Below are 22,916 nucleotides of genomic sequence, written 5' to 3'. Positions count from 1 at the left end.
CTGAAATAAATTCACTTGAAATGAAGAAAACAAAAGATCAATGAAACAAAAAGTTGTTTTTTAAAAAAGTTAAACAAAATTGACAACCCTTTAGCCAGGCTAAGAAAAAAAGAGAGAAGATTCAAATAAAGTCAGAGATTTTAAAAAAGACATTACCACTGATACTGCAAAAATTCAAAGGTTCATTAGTAGCTACAAAGAGCAAGTATATACAAACAAATTGGAAAATCTGGAACAAATGGACAAATTTTTAGATGCATACAACTTACCAATATTAAACCAGGAAGAAATCCAAAACTTGGACAGACAAGTAGCAAGTAATGAGATTGAAGCCATAATAAAATGTCTCTCAGTAAAGCCTGGATAGCTTAATTATTATTAATTAATTATACCAAACTTTTAAAGAAGAAACAATATGAATCCCACTAAAACTATTCCAAAAAATAGAAGAAGGAATACTTTCAGATTCATTCTACAAGGTAAGTATTACCCTGATACCAAACCAAACAAAAACATATCCAAAAGAAAAAATCTCTGAGGAATATTGATGTCAAAATCCGCACCAAAATACTAGCAAACTGAATTCAACAATACATTAAACAGATCATTCATTATGATCAAGTGTGATTTATCCCTTGGATGCAAGGATGTTTCAACATATGCAAATCAATTAACATAATACATCACATCAATAGAATGAAGGATATAAAACATATAATCCTTTCAATTGATGCTGAAAAATCACTTGATAAAATTCAACATCCATTCATGAATAAAACCTCAAAATATTGGATGTAGAAGGAACATTATTCAACACAATAAAAAGTGTATACAACAGACCCACATCTAGTATCAGACTACATGGGAAAAAAAATGAAAGTCTCGGCTGGGGGCAGTGGCTCATGGGTGTAATCCCAGCACTTTGGGAGGCCCAGGCGGGCTGATCACAAGGTCAAGAGATCAAGACCCTCCTGACCAACATGGTGAAACCCCATCTCTACTAAAAATACAAAAAAAAAATAGTTGGGCATAGTGGCATGCGCCTATAGTCCCAACTACTTGGTAGACTGAGGCAGGAGAATCGCTTGAACCCAGGAGGCGGAGGTTGCAGTGAGCTGAGATCGCGCCACTGCACTCCAGCCTGGGCGACAGAGTGAGACTCCATCTGAAAAAAAAAAGAAAAGAAAGAAAAATGAAAGTCTCCTCTAAGATCTAGAACATGACAAGGATGGGTGCTTTCACTACTGTTATTCAACTATTCAACATAGTACTGAGAGTCCTCGCTAGAGCAATCGGAAAAGAGAAAGAAATAAAGCACATGCAAATTTAAATGGAAGAATCCAAATTATCATTGTTTGCGGATGATCTAATCCCGTACTTGATAAAACCTAAAGACTCTAAAAAAAGTGAGAACCAATAAACAAATTCAATAAAGTCGCAGGATACAAATCAACATCCAAAAATCAGTAGCAAACAGTGAACAATGTAAAAAAGAGATCAAATAAGTAATTTCATTTACGATAGTGAGAAATAACATTAAATACCTAGGAATTAACCAAAAAAGTGAAAGATCTCTATTATGAAAACTATAAAACACTGATGAAATAAATTGAAGAGGACATCAAAAAGTGGAAAGATATTCCATGTTCATGAATTGAGATAATCGATGTTGTTAAAATGTCCATACTACCCAAAGCAATCTATAAATTCAATACAATCCCTATCAAAATACCAATTACATTCTTCACAGAAATAGACATAACAATCCTAAAATGTATATGGAACCACAAAAGACCCAGAATAGTCAAAGATATCCTATGCAACAAGTACAAAACTGGAGAAATAACATTACCTGCCTTCAAATTATACTACAGAGCTATAGTAACCAAAACAGCATAGTACAGGCATAAAAACATACACCTAGACCAACAGAACAGAATAGAGAACCCAGAAACAAGTCCACACACATAGAGTGAACTCATTTTTGACAACGTTGCCAAGAACATACCTTGAGGAAAAGATAGTCTTTTCAATAAACGGTACTGGGAAAACTGAATATCCATAGGCAGAAGAGTGAAACTAGGTCCCTATCTCTTACTTTTTATGAAAACAAAATCAAAATGGATTAAAGCTTTAAATCTAAGACCTCAAACTATGGAAGTACTATAAGAAAACATTGAGGAAAATCTCCAGGACATTGATCTGGACAGAAATTTCTTGAGCAGTATCCTACAAGCACAGGCAACCATCGCAAAAATAGACAAATGGGATTATATATCAAGTTTAAAAGCTTCTGCACAGCAAAGGAAACTATCAACAAAATAAAGAGACAACCCACACAATGGGAGAAAATATTTGCAAATGACCTGTCTGACAAGGAACTAATAACAAGAATATATGCAAACAACTCTATGGGGAAAATTTTAATAATTTAATCAAAAGATTGGCAAATTATTTGAACAGATATTTCTCAAAGGAAGATATACGAATGACAAACAGGCATATGAAAAGATACTCAACGTCACTGATAATCAGAGAAAATCAAATCAAAGCTACAATGAGATATCACCTCACCCCAGTTAAAATGACTTATATCCAAAAGACAGGTACTAACACATGCTGGCAAGGATGTGGAGAAAAGGGAACCCTCATATACTTTTGGTGGAAATGTAAATTAGTAGCAACAGTATGGAGAAGAGTTTGGAGTTTCTTCAAAATATTAAATGTAGAGCTAACATAAGACCAGCTCTCCTAATGCTGGGTATACACCTCACAAAAGAGGAAATCAATATATTGAAGATATATCTGCACTTCCATGTTTGTTGTAGCATCATTCACGATTGCTAAGATCTGGAAGCAACGTGTGGCCACCAACAGATGAATGGATAAAGAAAATGTGGTACTTATATACAATGGAGTACTATTCAGCCATAAAGAAGAATGAGATCCTGTCATTTGCAGCTGCATAAATGGAACTGGAGATCATTAAGTTAAGTGAAATAAGCCATCACAGAAACACAAAGAGCACATGTTCTCACTTATCTGTGGGATCTAAAAATCAAAACAACTAGACTCATGGAGATAGAGAGTAGAATGACGGTTACCAGAGGCTGGGAAGGGTAGTGGAGGGCTACAGGGGATGTGGGGATAGTTAATAGGTACAAAATAAATAGAAAGAATGGATAAGACTACTACTTGATAGCACAACAGGGTGACTATAGTTGATAATAACTTAATTGTACATTTAAAGATAACTAAAAAAGTGTAATTGGATTGTTTGTAACACAAAGGATACATGCTTGCAGTGATAAATGTCCCATTCTCCATAATGTATTTATTTCATATTGAATGCCTGTATTAAAACATTTAGTGTACCCCATAATTATATATACTCATTGACCCCCCAAAATTAAAAAGATAAAAAGTTATAAAATAACTCAAAACAAAAATAGAAAATACCTTGAAACAAAAAAAATTTAAAACAAAGCATACCACATATTATGGGATGCAGCAAAAGCAGTTCTATGAGGGAAGTTTATAGTGATAAGCAGCTACAATAAGAAAAAACAAAGATCTAAAATGAACAGCCTAATTTTACACATCAAGGAACTAGAAGAAGAGGAAAAAACTTAATTCAAAGTTAGCAGAAGGAAGAATATAACAAAGCTTAAAGCAGAAATAAGCAAAATATTGACTTTAAAATATCAATAGCAAAAGCAAAGAAACTAAGAGTGGGATTTTTGTAAAGACAAACAAAATTTAAAAACCTTTAGCTAGACTAAGTATAAAAAGAGTAACGACTCAATAAATAAAATTAAATATGGAAGAGAATACATTAGAACTGACACCATAAAAATGCGAAGGATCAGGAGAGACAACTATGACCCATTATAAATCAACAAACTGGAAAGTCTAGGAGAAACAGATAAATTCCTAGAAGCAAACATCCTACTGAGATTAAATCAAGAAGTAATTAAAACTCTAAACAGACCAATAATGGGTATGGAGGTTGAATCAGTAATGGAAAAAATCTTCCAACAAAGAGAATCTAGATTTGATAATTTTGCTGATGAATTTTACCAAACATTTAAATAATTAATATCCATCCTTTTAGAACTTTTCTGAAAAATAAAGAGTGGGAAATGCTTCCAAACTCATTTTAAGTGGCTGGCATAACCCTGATACAAAAGCCAGACAAGAACACTACAAATGAACGAAAATTACAGACCTATATATACATGAAAAAATCCTCAGCAAAATATTACAAGTCCTCACGTAATACCATTAATAGGTTCCTGAAAATTGTGACTTTAATTGAAGTGTAACAAAACCGATTTTACTATAGGTTAATTGATCTACCCAAGAGTTACTTCCTACAGCATATTTCTATTCACAAATACATTGTCGAAGTACTAAATAAAGACCCTAAACACTTCTGATACTAAACATTGAAATAACTGTAAGGTATACATATATTTAAGATAGATTAATAAAAACAAAATAATTATGTCTCCAATTTTGGTGAATCAGTGAGAGATGGTAGTCATAGTGGTGGTAGGTTGAATTAAGAAATAAATGTTTGCAAAGTGTAAGTTTAAGGAGCACCTCTAACCACCACACAGTTAAAAAACAATAACAAAGATGGTGGGCGAGATGAGCAATTGTACCACTTTATTTATTACTATACATTTGTATGACTATCATATGCTTCACCACTTTTTATTTTACAATAATTTGTATTCATTGATTGATTCATTTTTCAAGACATTCACTGCTGTTCAAGGTTGCAGGTGGCCAGATACTATCCCAGCAGCTCAGGGTGCAAAGTAGAGCCAACCATGGACAGAATACTATTTTATCACAGGACACATTCATACATACACGCACACTCTTATTTGGACAATTTAGGCACATCATTCAACCTAACATGCATATGTTTTGGAGGTGGAAGGAAGCCATAATATCCAAGGACATGGTGAGATCTTGCAAACTCTACACAGACAGTAGCCCTGGCCAGAGATCTCTATCTCAAAGACGCATCTGCACTCCCATGTTCATTGCATCATGATTCATAAGCAACAAGATATGAAAACAATCTGTGTCCATGAATGGATAAATAAAGAAAATGTGTGTATATACATATATATATATATATATATATATATATATATTCTGTCCTAAAAAGAAGAAAACCCTGCCATAAAGAATCTGTCTTTATGGTTGTGAGGTATAGTGGAAATCTCTCTAGATTAGGATGGACCACAGTTGGCTCTGGGTCCCAGCTCTGTCACTATCTAATTTTTGATAAGTGTCATATGTTTCCTGAGCTTTATTTCCTCTCTGCAAAAAGGAGAACAAAGACATCTCCCTCATCTATGTATTTTATCATTTTACTGTGTATACCTAATGAGACAATGAAAGCATTACATGATAAGTAACATTTCAAATATAGTCTTAACGTTGTATAGCACAGTGTGAAAGATAACTCTTTTCAAGCTCCCCAAAGCCCCACAACCCACTCCAATGATTTGCCATTTCACAGAAAAGGCTAAACTTCTAACAATAACCTACGAATCCCTATTCTACGTCTCCCATCACCTTTCTGCTATCTCACTCCTCTCTGCTCATCTCCATCATTAAATAAACCAGGGACATCCTGCCTGAGAATTCTGATTTACCATTTCTTCTAACTGAAACACTCTTACCTCAGAAATCCAAATGGCTTTGTTTTTGAACTTTTCCAAGTTTCTATCCAGATGCTATTTTATGAAGGTCAATCATCCTCACCGTCTTTGAAATGACATCCTACCTCTTGGCTATCTAGATTCCACTTTAAAGCTCAATTTATCCTCCATAGCAATTATTGTTAACCACCATTTTAACTGTTTGACTTGTTTAAAAGCCTGTCTCACAAAGTTTAAATGATTTTTTTCCCCTTTAGAACTTTTAGGTTCAGGGGAACATGTGCAGGTTTGTTACATGAGTAAATTGTGTGTCACGGGGGATTGGTGTAGAAATGATTTCATCACCCAGGTAAGTGAGCATAGTACTCAATAGGTAGGGTTTCTTTGTACCCCCATCCTCCTCCCACATCCCCAAATAGGCCCCCATGTCTAATGTTCCCATCTTTGTGTCCATGCATAATCAATGTTTAGCTCCCTCATAAGTGAGAACATGCAGCACTTGGATTTCTGCTCCTATACTAGTTTGCTTAGGATAGTGGTCTCCAGGTGCATTTATGTTTGCTGCAGAGGACAGGATTTTGTTTCTTTTTATGGCTGCATAATATTCCATGGTGTACAGATACCACATTTTCTTCATTTAGTACACCGTTGATGGGCAGTTAGGTTGACTCCATGTCTTTGCTATCGTGAATAGTGCTGTGATGAACATACAACTGTATGTGTCTTTTTGGTAAAATGATATACATTCCTTAGGCTATGTACCCATTAATGACATTGCTGGGTCAAATAGTCATTCTGTTTTAATTTCCTTGAGAGAGGTCTAAACTGCTTTCCACAGCAACTAAACTAATTTACATTCCCACCAACAGTGTATAAGCATTCCCTTTTTGCCACAGCGTCACCAATAGGTTGTTTTTTTTTTTTTTTTTTTTTTTTTTGAGACTGAGTCTCGCTCTGTCGCCCAGGCTGGAGAGCAGTGGCGTGATCTCGGCTCACTGTGAGCTCCGCCTCCTGGGTTCACGTCACTCTCCCGCCTCAGCCTCCCGAGTAGCCCGGACTACAGGGGCCCACCACCACGCCCGGCTATTTTTTTTGTTTTTTTTTCAGTGGAGACGGGGTTTCACCGTGTTAGCCAGGATGGTCTTGATCTCCTGACCTAGCGATGCCCCCGCCTCGACTTCTCAAAGTTCTGGGATTACAGGCGTGAGCCACCGTACCCGGCCCTATTTTTTGACTTTTTAATAATAGCCATTCTGACTGGTATGATATGGTATCTTATTGAGGGTTTGACTGCATTTTTGTAATGATTAGTAATATTGAATATGTTTTCATTCACTTGTTGGCCATGTGTATGTCTTCTTTTGAAAAATATCTACTTATGCCCTTTTCCCATTTTTTAAAGGAATTGTTTGTTTTTTGTTTGTTGATTTATTTAAGTTACATACAAATTCGTGTCATTAGATCTTTGTTGGATGCATACTTTGCAAATATTTCCTCCCATTCTGTAGGTTGTCTGTTTACTCTGTTGACAGTTTCTTTGGTTTTGCAGAAGCTTTTTAGTTTAATTAGTTCCCACTTGTCCATTTTTATTTTTGTTGAAATTGCTTTTGGAGACTGTCATAAAATCTTTTCCAAGGCTTATATCCAGAAGAGTATTTCCTGGTTTTCTTCTAGAGTTTTTATAGTTTTAGGTCTTACATTTAAGTCTTTAATTATCTTGAGTTGATTTTTATATATGATGATAGGAAGGGATCCAGTTTCAATCTTCTGCATATGGGTAGCCAGTTTTCCCAGCACCATTTATTGAATAGGGAGTCTTTTCCCCATTGCTGGTTTTTGTTAGGTTTATTGAAGATCAGATAGTTGTAAGTGTGTGGCCTTATTTCTGGGTTTTCTATTTTATTCTATTGGTCTGTGTGTTTGTTTTTGTAGCAGAATCATGCTGTTTTGGTTAATGTAGTTGTGTAGTATAGTTTGAAGTCAGGTAGTGTGATGCCTCTGTCTTTGTTCTGTTCTTTTACCTAGGATTGTTTAGCTATTCTGGCTTTTTTTGTTTCAATACAAATTTTAGCATAGTTTTTTTTTTCTAATTCTGTGAAAAATGACATTGACTGTTTGATAGGAATAGCATTTAATCTGTAAATTGCTTTGGCCATTTTAACAATATTGATTCTTCCTATCCATGAGCATGGAATGCTTTTTTTTTTTTTTTTTACACAGTCTTGTTCGGTCACCCAGGCTGGACTGTAGTGGTGCCATCTTGGCTCACTGCAACCTCCGCCTTCCGGGTTCAAGTGATTCTCTTGCCTCAGCCTCCCAAGTAGCTGTGATTATGGGTGCCACCACATCCAGCTGATTTTTGCATTTTTCATAGAGATGGGGTTTCACCATGTTGGCCTGGTTGGTGTTGAATCCCTGACCTCAAGAGGTCCTCCCGCCTCAGCCTCCCAAAGTTCTGGGATTATAGGCATGAGTCATTGTGCCTGGAATGCTTTTTAAATTTTATTTGTGTTGTCTCTGATTTCCTTCAGCAGTGTTGTTTAATTCTGATTGTAGAAATTTTTAACTTCCCTGAGTAGCTATATTCCCAGGTATGTGTTTTATAACTATTGTGAATAGGATTGTGTGCTTGATTTAGTTCTCAGCTTGAATGTTATTTTTGAATTGAAATGCTACTGATTTTTGCACATTTATTTTGTTCCCTGAAATGCTGAAATTGTTTATCAGTTCTAGCAGCCTTTGGTGCAGAGACTTGTGGTGTTCTAGGTATAAAATCATATTGCCAACGGGTGCGGTGACTCATGCCTGTGACTCATGCCTGTAATCACAGCTCTTTGGATAGCCGAGGTGGGTGGATCCCTGAGGTCAGGAGTTCGAGACCAGCCTGGCCAAAATGGTGAAACCCTGTCTCTACTAAAAATACAAAAATTAGTCGGGCACGGTGGTGGGTGCCTATAATCCCAGCTACTCAGGAGTCTGAGGCAGGAGAATCACTTGAACCTTGGGGGTGGAGGCTGCAGTGAGCTGAATCACACCACTACACTCCAGCCAGCGTGACAGAGTGAAACTCCGTTTAAAAAAAAAGAAAATCATATTGCCCGTGAAGAGAGATAGTTTGATTTCTGCCCTTTCTATTTGCATGATTTTTATTTCTTTCTCTTGCCTGATGACTTTGGCTAGGACTTTTATACGATTTGGATCTGTGTCCCTGTCCAAATCTCATGTCAAATTGGAATCTGCAACGTTGGAGGTGGGGCCTGGTGGGAGTGGCTCCTTCCTGAACTGTTTAGCCCCATCCCCTTGGTGCTGTTCTTGTGATAAAGAGTGAGTGAGTTATTGTGAGATCTGGTTGTTTAAAAGTGCATAGCACCTCCCCACTCTCTCTCTCCCTTCCACTCCGGCCATGTGAAGTGTCTTGATCTCCTTTGCTTTCCATCACGACCGTAAGTTCCCTGAGGCCTCCCCCAAAGCTGATGCCACCATGCTTCCTATACATCCTGCAGAACCATGAGCCACTTAAACCTCTCCTCTACAAACTACCCAGTTTCAGGTATTTCTTTATAGCAGTGTGAGAACAACCTAATATAGAAAATTGGTACTGAGGAGTGGGGCATTGCTTTAAAGATACCTGAAACCCTGGAAGCAGCTTTGGAACTGGTTAATGGGCAGAGATTAGAACAATTTGATGAACATTTGGAACTTCCTAGTGACTTGTTGGATGATTGTGACCAAAATGCTGATAGTGATATGGAGGGTGAAATCCAGGCTGAGGAGGTCCCAGATGGAAATGAGAAACTTATTAAAAATTGGAGTGAAGGTCACTTATGTTATGCTCTAGCAAAGAGCTTGGCTGCATTGTGCCCGTGCTCTAGGGATCTGTGGAGCTTTGAACTTGAGAGATGATTTAGGATATCTAGTAGAAGAAAATTCTAAACAGCAGTGTTCAAGACTGACCTTGCAGCTTCTAACAACCTACACTCATTTACATGATCAAAGAAATTACCTAAAACTGGAACTTATATTTAAAAGAAAGAGAAGCAGAGCTTAAGAGTTTGGAAAATTTGCAGGATGGCCATATGGTAGAAAAGAAAATCCCATTTTCATGGGAGGAATTCGAATGGGCTGCAGAAATTTGCATAACTAAATGGAAGGCAAGTACTAATAGCTAAAACAATAGGGAAAAGATCTCAAAGGCATTTCAGAGACCTTCATGGTAGCACCTCCCATCACAGGTCTGGAGGCCTAGGAGAGAAGAACAGTATCCTGGACCAGGCCTAGAGCGCTGATGCCCTGAGCAGCCTCAAGACACTGCTCCCTGCAAACCAGCCACTCTAGCTTCAGCTGTGGCTGAAAGGAGCCCAGGTACAGCTCAGGCTGCTGCTCCTGAGGGTGCAAGCCATAAACCTTGATGGCTTCCTTGTGGTGTTCAGCCTGTGGGTACACAGAGTACAAGAGTAGAGGCTTGGAAGCCTCCACCTAAATTTCAGGGGATGTACTGAAAAACCTGGATGTCCAGAAAGAAGCTTGCTGTAGGGGCAGAGCCCTCATGGAGAACCTCTAGTAGAAGAGTGTGGAGGGAAAATGTGGAGTTGGACCTCCCACACAGAGTCCCCACTGGGACACTGCCTACTGGAATTGTGAGAAGAGGGCCACTGTCCTTCAGCCCCCAGAATGGTAAATCCACCAGCAACTTACACACTTTGCCTGGAAAAGCCACAGGCACTCAACATTCACCCCTAAGAGAAGCTGTGGGAGCCAAACCATGCAAAGCCACAAAGGTGAAGCTGTCCAAGTCCTTGGGAGCCCACACCTTCCATCAGGGTGTCCTGGATGTGGCACAAGCAGTCAAAGGAGACTATTTTGGAACTTTAATATTTAATGACTGCCCTGATGGGTTTTAGACTTGTACAAGGCCTGTAGCCCTTTTGGTTTGGCCAATTTATCCCTTTTGAAATAAGAATGTTTACCCAATGCTTGTACCTTCATTCTGTCTTAAAAGTAACTAATTTGTTTTTTATTTTATAGGCTCATAGTTGGAAGGAAGTATCCTGTCTTAGATGAGACTTTGGACTTTGGACTTTTGAGTTAATGCTGAAATGAGTTAAAATTTTGCTGGGCGCGGTGGCTCATGCCTGTAATCCCAGCACTTTGGGAGGCTGAGTTGGGCAGATCACCTGAGGTCAGGAGTTCAAGACCAGCCTGACCAACATGGAGAAATCCCATCTCTACTAAAAAAAAAATTATATATATATATATATATACAAAATTAGCCAGGCATGGTGGTGCATACCTATAATCCTAGCTACTCAGGAGGCTGAGGAAGGAGAATCACTTGAACCTGGGAGGCGGACATTGTGGTGAGCTGAGATCATGCCATTGCATTCCAGCCTGGGCAACAAGAGTAAAACTCCATCTCGAATTTAAAAAAAAAAGATTTTGGGGGACTGTTGAGAAGGCATGATTGTCTTTTGCAATGTGAGAAGGAGAGGAGATTTGAGAGGGGCCACAGGGTGGAATAATAGTTTGGATCTGTGTCCCTGCTCAAATCTCATGTTAAATTGTAATCCCCACTGTTGGAGATGGGGCCTTGTGTGAGGTGATTGAATCACAGGCATCCTTCATGAGTGGTTTAGCACCGTCCCATTGGTTTTGTTCTTGTTATAGTGACTGAGTGAGTTATTGTGACATCTGTTTGTTTAAAAGTATATTGTACCTCCATCCTCTCTCTTCCTATTGTTCAAGCCATGTGAAGTGCCTCATTTCCATTTTCCTTCCACCATGATTGTAATTTCCCTGAGGCCTCCCTAGAGGCTGATGCTGCCTTGCTTCCTGTATAGCCTACTGAACCATGAGCTAACTAAATCTCTTTTCTTTACAAATTACTCAGTCTCGGATATTTCTTTATAGTAGTTTGAGAATAGACTAATATAGACTTCCAATTCTATGTTGAATAGGGGTAGTGGGAGTAAGCATCCCTGTTTGTTTCAGTTCTCAAGAGAAATGCTTTCAGCTTTTGCCGGTTAAGTATGATGCTGGCTTGTCATAGAAGGCTTTAATTATTTTGAAGTATGTTAATTTCGTTCCTAGTTTGTTGAGGGTTTTTAACATGAAGGGATGTTGAATTTCAGCAGCAGTCTTTTCTGTGTCTATTGAGATAACCATGTGTTTTTTCCTTTTACTTCTGCTTATGTGATTTATTGATTTGCATATTCTGAACCAACCTTGCATCTCAAGAATAAAGTGTATTTCATCATGGTGTATTAGCTTTTTCAAAAAAAATTTGGTGGGTACATATAAGTGCATGTATTTATAGGGTACATGATATTTTTGTACAGGTATGCAAAATGTAATAACCACAGCATGGAAAATTGGGTATCCATTCCCACAAGCATTTATCTTTCCTGTTACAAACAATCCAATTATACTACTTTAGTTATATCAAAATGTACAATTAAATTATTATTGACTATTGCCTCCCTGTTGTGCTATCAAATAATATGTCTTATTCATTCTACTTTTTTGCACCCATTAACCATCCCTACCTACTCCCCACCCACCTACTACCCTTCCCAGGCTCCAGTAATCATCCTTATATTCTCTATTTCCATGAGTTCAATTATTTTGATTATTGGATCTCACAAACAAATGAGAATATGTGATGTTTGCTTTTCTGTGTCTGGCTCATTTCATTTAATATAATGACCTCCCATTTCATCTATGTTGTTGCAAATTACAGAAACTCATTTTATTTTTTTATGGCTGAATAGCTCCATTGTGTTTAAGTGTCACATTTTCTGTATCCATTTGTCTGTTGATGGACACTTAGGTTGCTTACAAGTCTTGGCTATTGTAAACAATGCTTTGATATATTAATTTTCTTTCTTTTGAATATGTACTCAGTAGTGGGATTCCTGGATCATATTACAGCTCTATTTTTAGTTTTTTGAGGAACATACAAATTGTTTTCTATAGTGGTTCTACTAATTTACATTCCCACCAACAGTACACAAGGGTATCCTTTGCTCCACATTCTTGCTAGCATTTGTTATTGCTTCACTTGGATAAAAGCCATGTTAACTGAGTTGAAATGATAACTTATTGTAGTTTTGATTTGCATTTCTCTGATGATCAGTGATGTTGACCACTTTTTCACATGCCTGTTTGCCATTTGTATGCCTTCTTTTGAGGAATGTCTATTCACCCTTTTCCCTGTTTTATGATCAGATTATTAGATTTTTGCCCTACAGAGATATTGGTACTTCTTATATATTCTTTTTACTAATCTCTTGTCAGATGAGTCATTTGCAAATATTTTCTTGCATTCTGTAGTTTGTCTCTTCACTTTGTTGATTGTTTCCTTTGCTGTGTGAAAGCGTTTTAATTTGATGTATTCAAATTTGTCCATTTATGCTTTGGCTGTCTGTGCTTGTGGTGTATTGCCCCCAAAAATTTTTGCTCAGAGCTATATCCTGGAGAGGTTTCCTGTTTTCTTGTAGTAGTTTCATAGTCTGACGTCTTATATTTAAGTCTTTAATATATTTTGATTTGATTTTTGTATAAAATAAGGGATAAAGATCAAATTTTATTCTTCTTTACTAGAATATTGAGTTTTCCCAGCACCATTTACTGTGTTCTTGGCACCTTTGTCAAAAATGAGTTCAGTGTACGTGTTTGGCTTTGTTTCTGGGTTTTCTATTATGTTCCATTGACCTATGTGTCTATTTCTATGCCAGTACATGCCATTTTGATTACTATAGCCATGTAGTATAATTTGAGGTCAGGTAATGTCTCCTCACATGTACTGATTTGTAGATGTTGAACCATCCTTGCATTTCTGGAATAAATACCAGATGGTTATGACCAATGGTCTTTTTAATGTATTGTTGAATTCAGTTTTTTAATGGTTTACTGAGGCTTTTCACATCAATATTCATCAGATAAATTTGACAATAGTTTTCTTATTGTATGTGTTTTTGATTTTGATGTCAGGGTAATACTGGCCTCATAGAATGAGTTTGGAAGTATTCCCTCTTTATTTTTCAAAATAGTTTGAGTAGAAATGCTATTAATTCTTTAAATGTTTGGTAGAATTCAGCAGTGAAGCCATTTGGTGCTGGACTTTTCTTTACAAGGTGACTTTTTATTATTACTTCAATCTTGTTACTTGTTATTGGTGTATTTAGGTTTTGGATTTTTTCCATGGTTCAATCTTGGTAGGTTGTATGTGTCTAACAATTTTTTTCATTTCTTCTAGATTTTCCAATTTATTGGTGTATAGTTGCTCATAGCGGCCAGTAATTTTCCTTTAAATTGCTGAACCATCAGTTGTGATGTTTTATTTTTCATCTCTGATTTTATTTGGGTCTTTTCTCTTTTTTTCTTAGTTAGTCTTGCTAAAGGTTTGTCAATGTTGTTAAACTTTAAAAAAAATCAACGTTCTGTTTCATAGATCTTGTATCGTGTTCTTTATTTCAAATTCCTTTATTTCTGCATGATTATTATTATTATTATTTCCTTTTGCCTACTAATTTTGGGTTTAATTTGCTCTTGCTTATCTAATTATTTAAGATGCATCATTAGGTTATTTATTTGCAGCTTTTTTTAGGTAGGCACTTACAGCTATAAATTTTCCTCTTTCTATGGCTTTCCCTGTATCCCATAGACTTTGGGATTATAGATTAGCTTTCTGGTATGCTATTGGGTTTGGCTTGCTAGTATTTTTGTTGAGGATTTTTGTGTCTATGTACATCAGGAGTATTGGCTGAAAGTTTTCTCTTTTCTGTCTTTGCCAGGTTTTGGTATTTAAAAAAGAAAAGTTCTCAGAGACCTATGAAGAGACTTAAATTACCAACAATAATAGCAGGAGACTTCAACATCCCACGGAGAGTAGTAGATCATTGAGGCACATAACTAACAGTTTTTTGGTACATAAATTCAACTCTTGTCCAAATGGACCTAAGAGGCATCTGCAGAACACTGTACCCAACAACAATAGAATATACATTCTTATTATCTGCAAACAGCACATATTCTAAGATCAGCCACACACTTGGCCATAAGACAATTATCAGAAAAAATACAAAATATGAAATCATACCAACTACTTTCTTGGACAGGAGCACAAAAATCATATAAATCAATGCTAAGAGAATTGCTCAAAACCATACAATTACATGGAAATTAAACAACCTGCTCCTAAATGGCTTCTGGGTAAATAAAGACATTAAGGCAGAAATCAAGAAAATTATTCGAAACTAATGATAATAAAGACACAACATGCCAGAATCTCTGGGACACAGCTTACAGAGTGTTAAGAGAAAGGTTTACAGCAGTATATGCCTATATCAAAAAGTTTGAAAGATCTCAAATTAAAACCTAACATCACAACAAGAGGAACTTGAAAAACAAGAGCAAAACAACCAGAAAGCTAGCAGAAGAAAAGAAGTAACTGAAATCAGAGTTGAATGAAATTGAGATGCAAAAATCCATCCAAAAGATGAATGAAAACATAAGTTGGTTCTTTGAGAGAATAAACAAGATCGATAGACCTTTAGCTAAAGGAATAAAGAGAAAAAGGAGAAGATCAAGATAAACACAATCAGAAATGGCAAAGATGACATTACTACTAACCACAAAGAAATACAAAAAATCCTCAGAGACTATTAAAATTACCTCTATGAACACAAACTAGAAAACATAGAAGAAATGAATAAATTCCTGGAAATACACAAGCTCCCAAGATTGAAACAGGAAGAAATTGAAATCCTGGCCAGAAAAATAATGAATTTCAAAACTGAATCAATAATAAAAAGCCTCCCAACTAAAAAGCCCTGGAAGAGACAGATTCACAGTTGTATTCTAGCAGACATACAAAGAAGAGCTGGTACCAATTCTACTGAAATTATTCCCCCCCCAAAAAAAATGAGGGACTTCTCTCTAACACATTTTACTAGGCCAGCAGCATTCTGATACTAAAATGTAAGTTCTAAAATGAGAATTTTTGTATTTTCTGGTATAATATACTATACTATCTATGCCTAGAAAGCTTCCAGAAACACCATACACACTTAATAAATATGTGAAAATGAATGAATAAAAATGATGGTTCACCACCTTCTCCCTTGCTTTCCTCTTTCAGAAGAACTAAAAAATGAATATTCATTTTTCCTAGCTACATTTCAGTGTGGTATGAGCTTATTGTGTCTCTTGTAAGTGAGATATGTATGGATGTTTTGTAGGAAGGGATTCCTTCCCAAATAAAAGGTAAATTTCTTACAGAAAAGGATATGGAATTTATGACTTTTTTCTTGCCTAGAATGAGAATGTGAAATATGGAGACTAAGCAATTATCTTTTGATTTTAAAGAGATAAAAACACATGAAGGATGAGGGAAAAGCAAGAGAAAAAAGTCAAAATTGGTGATGGTATTTTTCAGCTGCTGTCATAGCCTTTGACTCTCTACCCCTGAACTTCCCACAGGTAAAATATAAAACCCCATGTGGGGTTTAAACTGTACTTAAATTACGGCTGACTGCTTTCATTATGTTTTGAACACATTTCTAATAGAAACAGAATGTAAAGCCATAATAAGAGTCAAGACAAGATAGATCATATTATTAAATAAACCTTTCTTTCTTTCATGGGTTCCCACTGCCCATTCAAAGCTAGTACTTTTGTTGTGCTTCTTTCTAGGCATATGACATTTTATCCAGAGAAACCCAAATGTCTACATCTTATTCTGTACTCCTTAGCAGAAATACATATTGACTGCTATTTTTTCTAACTCCTCATCTACATAGCTATTTTTTTAAAATCTAATAATTGCATTCATGATAGTGAATTATGATCAGTAATAACCCCTTCATAACCTCATGGGCATTTGTATTTTAGTGGGGAAATAGTCATTTGTCAGGAACGCATAGGTAGTTATATCACCAAACATTTATGGGAAAAGTCACAAAGGAAGATATTTTGGGGAAGAGTGTCACTAAAATGAAACTAAGGACTTTGACCCATTCTCTTTATTCTCAAAACTATGATTATTATTTTCATGCCCATGGAAAGAGGAGATACCCACTTTTTTAAGTTAGTTAAGAAAAGTACACACCTATATCAGTGTATTTCAAGCTATACTATTAAGAAAATTCAGGATTTTGCAATAGTTAATCAGGTAGGAGGTCAGGGCTGTGAGTTGAGAGAGATAGTGACGATATTGCCTGTCAATACAGAAGGAGAAAAGCTTATTTTTAATTTCTGTATATGTATAACATATCGAATGAAATGAAGTACATATACAATAGTCCTCCCTTATCAGTGGGTGCCAGAAACCACAAATAGTACCAAACCCTGTATACATTGTTTTTTTTTGATCTAATAACTGAGAGTGCTACTAAGTAATTAATGGGTTGATAGTGCATATAGTATGGATATGTTGGAAAAAGAAATGATTCATGCTCTGAGCCGGACAGAGTGCAATAACAGAAATTTTTATCAGCTACTCAGAATGGCACACAATTTAAAGCTTATGAATTGTTTATTTCTGTAATTTCCATTTAATATTTTTAACCACAGTTGACCTCAGGCAACTGAAACCATGGAAAGCAAAACTGCAGATTAGGGGTACTATTATATGTAAGAATTTCTTTAAAAAAAAAAAACTAAGGATAAAAATAGCTTTGTGCTCACCAAAGACAAACCTGTTATTACTCAGGTAGTGTAGTTTTAAGTATTCTTTTGAAGTAATATTAAAAAATTACAACGAACAATAATGATGATGAAACAAAATGCATATAGGCAATGCAACTCTTGTTATTATATAAGGAAAGTCATATATTAAAGTTAAAACACAACTGACAGGTGACACTGTCCCTTCTCAGGTAGTCCTAACAGAAAAAGCTGATAATATAAAAAAATTCCCTTAAAATGATATAGTGAAAAGAGCTTGGGCTTTGGAATCAAATAGGCATGACTCAAATCCCTGATTATTTTCTTAGTAATTGTGGTTTCAGACATGTTACTCTGTATGCCTCCAGTTCATCACCTATCAATTGGGCATCATTGTACCCACCTTGTAGAGCTGTGTGATTATTAAATGATACAATAATCATAAATGTTTTATAACATTTTTGTTCTTTCTGAACCAGCAGGATGGGAGTAGGGAATCAGCCCATTACCAGTATCATTGTTCTCTATTGACTACTTCTATTGACAGGAATGGCCTAAAGCTCAGAGTGTGGTCCCAGGACACTTTGAAGGTCCTTAAAAGCCTTTATGTAGGTCCAAAAGGTTCTGCATTTTTCCATTGCATTATCTGAGTGAGGCCAGATTTTCTTTATACACTTCAACCAAAACAGTATATTGCAACAGAATGGAGAACTGCATGTCAAAATTCATGTTTGTTACTATCAAATTAGATAATAAAGATATTTGCAAAAATGTAAAACAATACCACTGTTATCCTCAATTTATTGTTTCTGTTTTGTGAAATATTATTTTAACATGAAATATTTTTAAAACACTAATATGCACATTTATTATCATTTTAAAATAAATATTTAACTGTTTTTCCATTTTAACTTCTAACACAAAAATATTAATATATTTAACCTACATAAGCAAAAACATTTTAGAGCATTCAATAATTTTTAAAAATATAAAGGAAACAAAAATGTTTGAGAACTGCACACATAAAGTGCTACGTTTTTACCATTCTCTACAACCATGAAAGTTTAGGCTGTGATCTCTACTTTAAGAAAAAAATCGAGGATGAATATATGTATATATATATATCTGTAAAATATGGATATTTATTATCTGTCAATATTTTATTTTGTCTATCTATAATATATGTGATGTGATAACAAATCTTGAGTTTATTTTGCAAGCCAATATTCAATTTATTTGAATTCTATGTTTTATTATCTGAAATGGCTTTGTTACAAAATCCCAAAGACAAATTATATGAACTTGATTATCTTACAGTACATTAGAATTAGGCAAGATCACCATGAAAATACGTAGGTACTTACTATCTATGTCTTAGAACGTTCTGGAGTTAAACACTGATAGTCCTGAGCACCAATCAATTACGAATAGGTTTGCATATAAAATACAAAATGTATCCTGAAAAATTAAGGGTAATATTCTACACAATCGCAATATAAATGTTTGTAACAAATACTACTGTATTAATACCAAAAGCACAGAGAAGTAAACATGTATCAGCACAAGGGAAAAACAATATTCTAAAATAGTGTTCTCCTTGGGTAATATGGCAAGTATGTCTAAAATCTTAACCTGACCAGAAAAAAATTGAGTTTCATTAGCAAGTAGTTTCAGCTTACCAGGAGATAACATTATTCCTGTGTTATTTTTACTCAAAAACGGTGTGTCATACAAATTAATTAACTTAGATAGATGACAGATGTATACATTTTCTTTCTATTCATTTTGACTGCTTATACAAACCTAATTGTAAGCAAAACAAAATAACCAAACTCATTTAGACTAAGATGATGGTACCTTAAAATTACCGAATTTTCCCTAAGGCCACTGGGCTGACTAATCTCCATTTTCCCTCAGATGCTTCACTTACGCTTTCTTCACTACCTTGCTCTGGGCCACGGGAGATTGATTTATGGGTTTCGTTACCCCGCACGTCCTAACTCCTCCATCCCCAGTTTGAACTTGGAGGCAGCAGTAGAAAATTGATGAGCTGCAAAGAAAGCGAGAATTTTTTCTTTCCTCTCTTTTTTGCCAGGGTGCAGTTTGGACAGGGATTGCTTTCCTCCATGTAGAGGAAACTTCTACCTCTGCTGCTCACTCCAGCTGCCAGATTTCATGTTTCTATGCTGCATTGCTCCTTTAGGTGAACAAGTAGTAAAAGGGGTGAAGTTATCAAGCAATTGCCAACATCACACTGCCTCTATTTAGGTCCTTAAGTCCAACCTTCATATCTAAGAACAGATCTTGTGTTATAAACCTTCATTAGACTCCCCTGAATGAACATTTTGGGTATATCCTGCCGAGTGGTACAGCTGTTGTTTCCAAATGTTCCACACTCCAGTGTGATTTTTGGATACCAACAAGTTTTCCATCTATAGGGTTGCTGTTTGGAAAACTGAACTGTTCATGAAAGCTCATTACGTGCCTAATTTATTCCCACTGTAAAGAAGGAGGTAATATTTATTGAACTAACAATCAACTCAATAAGAGTATTTGATATTTATTATCATTTCAATTTTATCTATAATACAGAGCAAAACTTATGTTGAGTTTTAAGTTTACCTATGGTTCAAAAAATTAGATACAAGCAGTATTGAAACCACCTTGAGCAAATTAGTTATTAAAAAGTGAATGCTAACTCATTTAATACGTGTTTCTACTAAATAGAGAGGTAAAATGACAAGATAGTTGTCCTTTGATGATTCAAGTGGCATCTCTAAAAATTGAAGAAGGCATAGCACCAAATACTGTTCAAGTTTTTTCAAAAAACTAACAATAATAATATTCTAAGTGATTTACATATATTGACTCATTTTAGCTTCTTAAAATCTCTGTGAGCTTAGTTCTAATTTTTCTCTAACTTTTAGGCAAGGATTTCATCACAGAGAGATTAAATAACATGCCCCGAATCACACAGTTTTCTTTCTATTCATTTGGATAGATTATACATATTTCCATAACACAGAGAGATTAAATAACATGTCCTAAATCACACAGCATATGGCTGAACTAAAAAGACAACAAGAGTTAAAAGTAGTTAAATTGGTCTTTGCAGGTGTCATTTTCTTTATATCTTTTAATGAAATTAATAAATTTCCAGAGAGATTAAGAAATTGACCTTGAGAATAAAAACTAAAACTCTACGACTTACATAAGTAAATTTTATTTTTACTCAATTACATTTCAGTTGTAATTTTACTAGGATGTATTTTGAATGGCTTTTTAATTATTTTGTTTTGTTTTATGAGAACAAGAAAATAATTACCAGTGCAACTATATCACAATTAAAGGAAAACAAAGTAACAAAAAGAATTACATAACACCTAAGAAATAGGTACATCACTGGCATTTCTAGCTCATCCTTTCTCCATTGCTGTCTTTGTTTATTCAGAAAATATTCATTAAATGATTGAGGTGTATCTGGTACTGTGCCTATGCTGGCATGATACACTGAACAACATAAATACTCATCCCAGCTCTAATGGACATTTCACCAGAGAGAAAGTCAAGAAAATAATTACCTCCGTGATGATTATCCTGCAGGAGAGACTTCAGATAATATGAAGGTAAATTTTCTAAATCAAAACAAGGAAGAAGCATTTTTTCTGAGATGAACCTAGATCTGAAGGAAGAGAAGGTCTTTTCTGGATAGGGGTGGGGTGGGTACAGAGAAAGAATAGCCTAAAGACAAGGTAGACCAGAGCAAGGGAAGGCCTGGAGAGGACGAGCTCAGATCTTTCTGAGAAGTAAAAATATCACCATTGTTTCTGAAATGCAGAAACTCCTAAATACCAAGGCCTAGATATTATGGTTGTAGAAGGAAAGTAGCTTATATTGTCTCCATTTAGTTTAGAAGGCAGAAACTTTGAAATACCCCCTTCAAGTGTGGTGTCTAATGTCAAGGCCATAGACCCAGTCATTCATTTATCATAGTCTCCCATTCTAGAGGGAGAATGAAAAAGGGAACTGAGTGACGGTGAAAATCACATGACAAATTCATCTTGAAAATGTCTCTGAAGGAATTGTCTTAAAAAATTTTTCCTAAAGAATGTTGTCGATGGAAAAAAATGAGTAACAAATGGAGACTGGGGTACATTTGGCATAAAATTCTAGTAGAGAGTTATGAAAGCTTCAGTTTAATGAATATCTATTAGGCATTTCACATACATGATATTTAATCCTTGTAAGAACCTTACAGTACTGGCACCATTATCTATCTCTGATAGATGAGGAAACTAAGAAGTCAAATAACTTGCCCAAGCCTCACACCTATAAGTAGCAATCAATGCAGGTATTAGAAACAGAGTCATCCTGGATCCAAAGTTCTTACTTTTTCCACTTTATTTCTTTTCAATGAGAATTGTTTCTTTTAACACAAATGTAACATGTGGATGACCCAAAAAGGATGGGCGTTGTGTACTAAAGATCTAAAGATATATAGAAATGTAACAAATATAAATTACCTTAGACTCTTCCTTCACTGGATTTTAAAACATTCACCTAAGATGTATTGTTTAAGGGGATGTTTCTCATACAAATTTGATAAATTTACTTGTCTATAATGGTTTTACAGGGCAGGATTCTGTCAGACGTAGACAAAGGGGAGAACAGGGAGAACAAAAACATATATCCACCAACTTTTAGTCACAGAGAATGATTGCTTCTTAAAAGCTCAATGTACATAGCCTTGACCACCTGCTTTATGAGAATATTCTCCAATTGCTAAAGTTGAATTCAATATTTTAGCTTGCACTATATGTCAAGTTATTTATTAAGTGTTATACAAGCTTTTTAAATTTGATGCCTATACTGTTGCAGACCTAGAAACAGACAGTATAATCCCCATTTTACAAGGGTAAATCTGAGACTTACCAAGATTATACAACTTTCCTACTATTTTGTTTTAAGTAACAACTGGAAGAGCCAAGATCTCAAAAATATATATTTTTACTTTACTAAGTATATTTAGAATTTACTTAGAATATTAGTATATGATTGCTACCTGCCAGGGTATATGCTAAAGCCTTCACATCAAATGTCTCAATAAATCACACAGTATTAGACAGGAACAATAATGAAAATAGTGATGATGATGATGATGACAATGATGATGAGGATGATGATACAGAGGATGATGACTGTGATAATATTCTTTCTATAGGTGAGGAACTGGAGTAAACATCTCCATCTACCGCATCTTGCATGTTGAACTTAACAAGCTAAAGGTTTGAGGGATCACTTTGAGATGCTGGAAGTCCCAGAATATTCCTTCCGGAAACTGTAAATTTAACACTCTTCAGCCTGGTCATATTTTTAAAATGTTATATTCATATTTGTGGTTTAAAAGGTAGCTCCAAGTAACAGGGCTGCAGGACCTTATAATCATTCATCCGTGGCAATTAGATTAATGGCCTCCATTCTAAGAACTATTGCTTTAGCATCTCCTTTATTCCATTACTCAAGCTTATTTTTCCAGCTGTGATCATATGCTGACTGGGATATGCATAA

The 22,916-nt window shown here is 35.5% G+C and overlaps 1 long non-coding RNA gene across 1 annotated transcript in view; it reads left to right on the top strand.

The window, feature by feature from the left end:
* LOC105374553 (uncharacterized) overlaps positions 1 to 22,680 on the top strand; it is an 84,694-nt gene extending 62,014 nt beyond the window's left edge. The window contains exons 2-3 of the long non-coding RNA XR_925524.2: positions 20,800 to 20,974; positions 22,570 to 22,680. This is a non-coding gene — a long non-coding RNA (uncharacterized LOC105374553). The remainder of the gene's footprint in view (positions 1 to 20,799; positions 20,975 to 22,569) is intronic.
* The last annotated feature ends 236 nt before the right edge of the window (positions 22,681 to 22,916 follow it).

This window comes from Homo sapiens, chromosome 4, assembly GCF_000001405.40.
Source record: "Homo sapiens chromosome 4, GRCh38.p14 Primary Assembly".
NCBI classification, from domain to species: Eukaryota; Metazoa; Chordata; class Mammalia; order Primates; family Hominidae; genus Homo; species Homo sapiens.
Note: the sequence above shows the minus strand (reverse complement) of the source record. Positions and strands in the feature narration are given on the sequence as shown.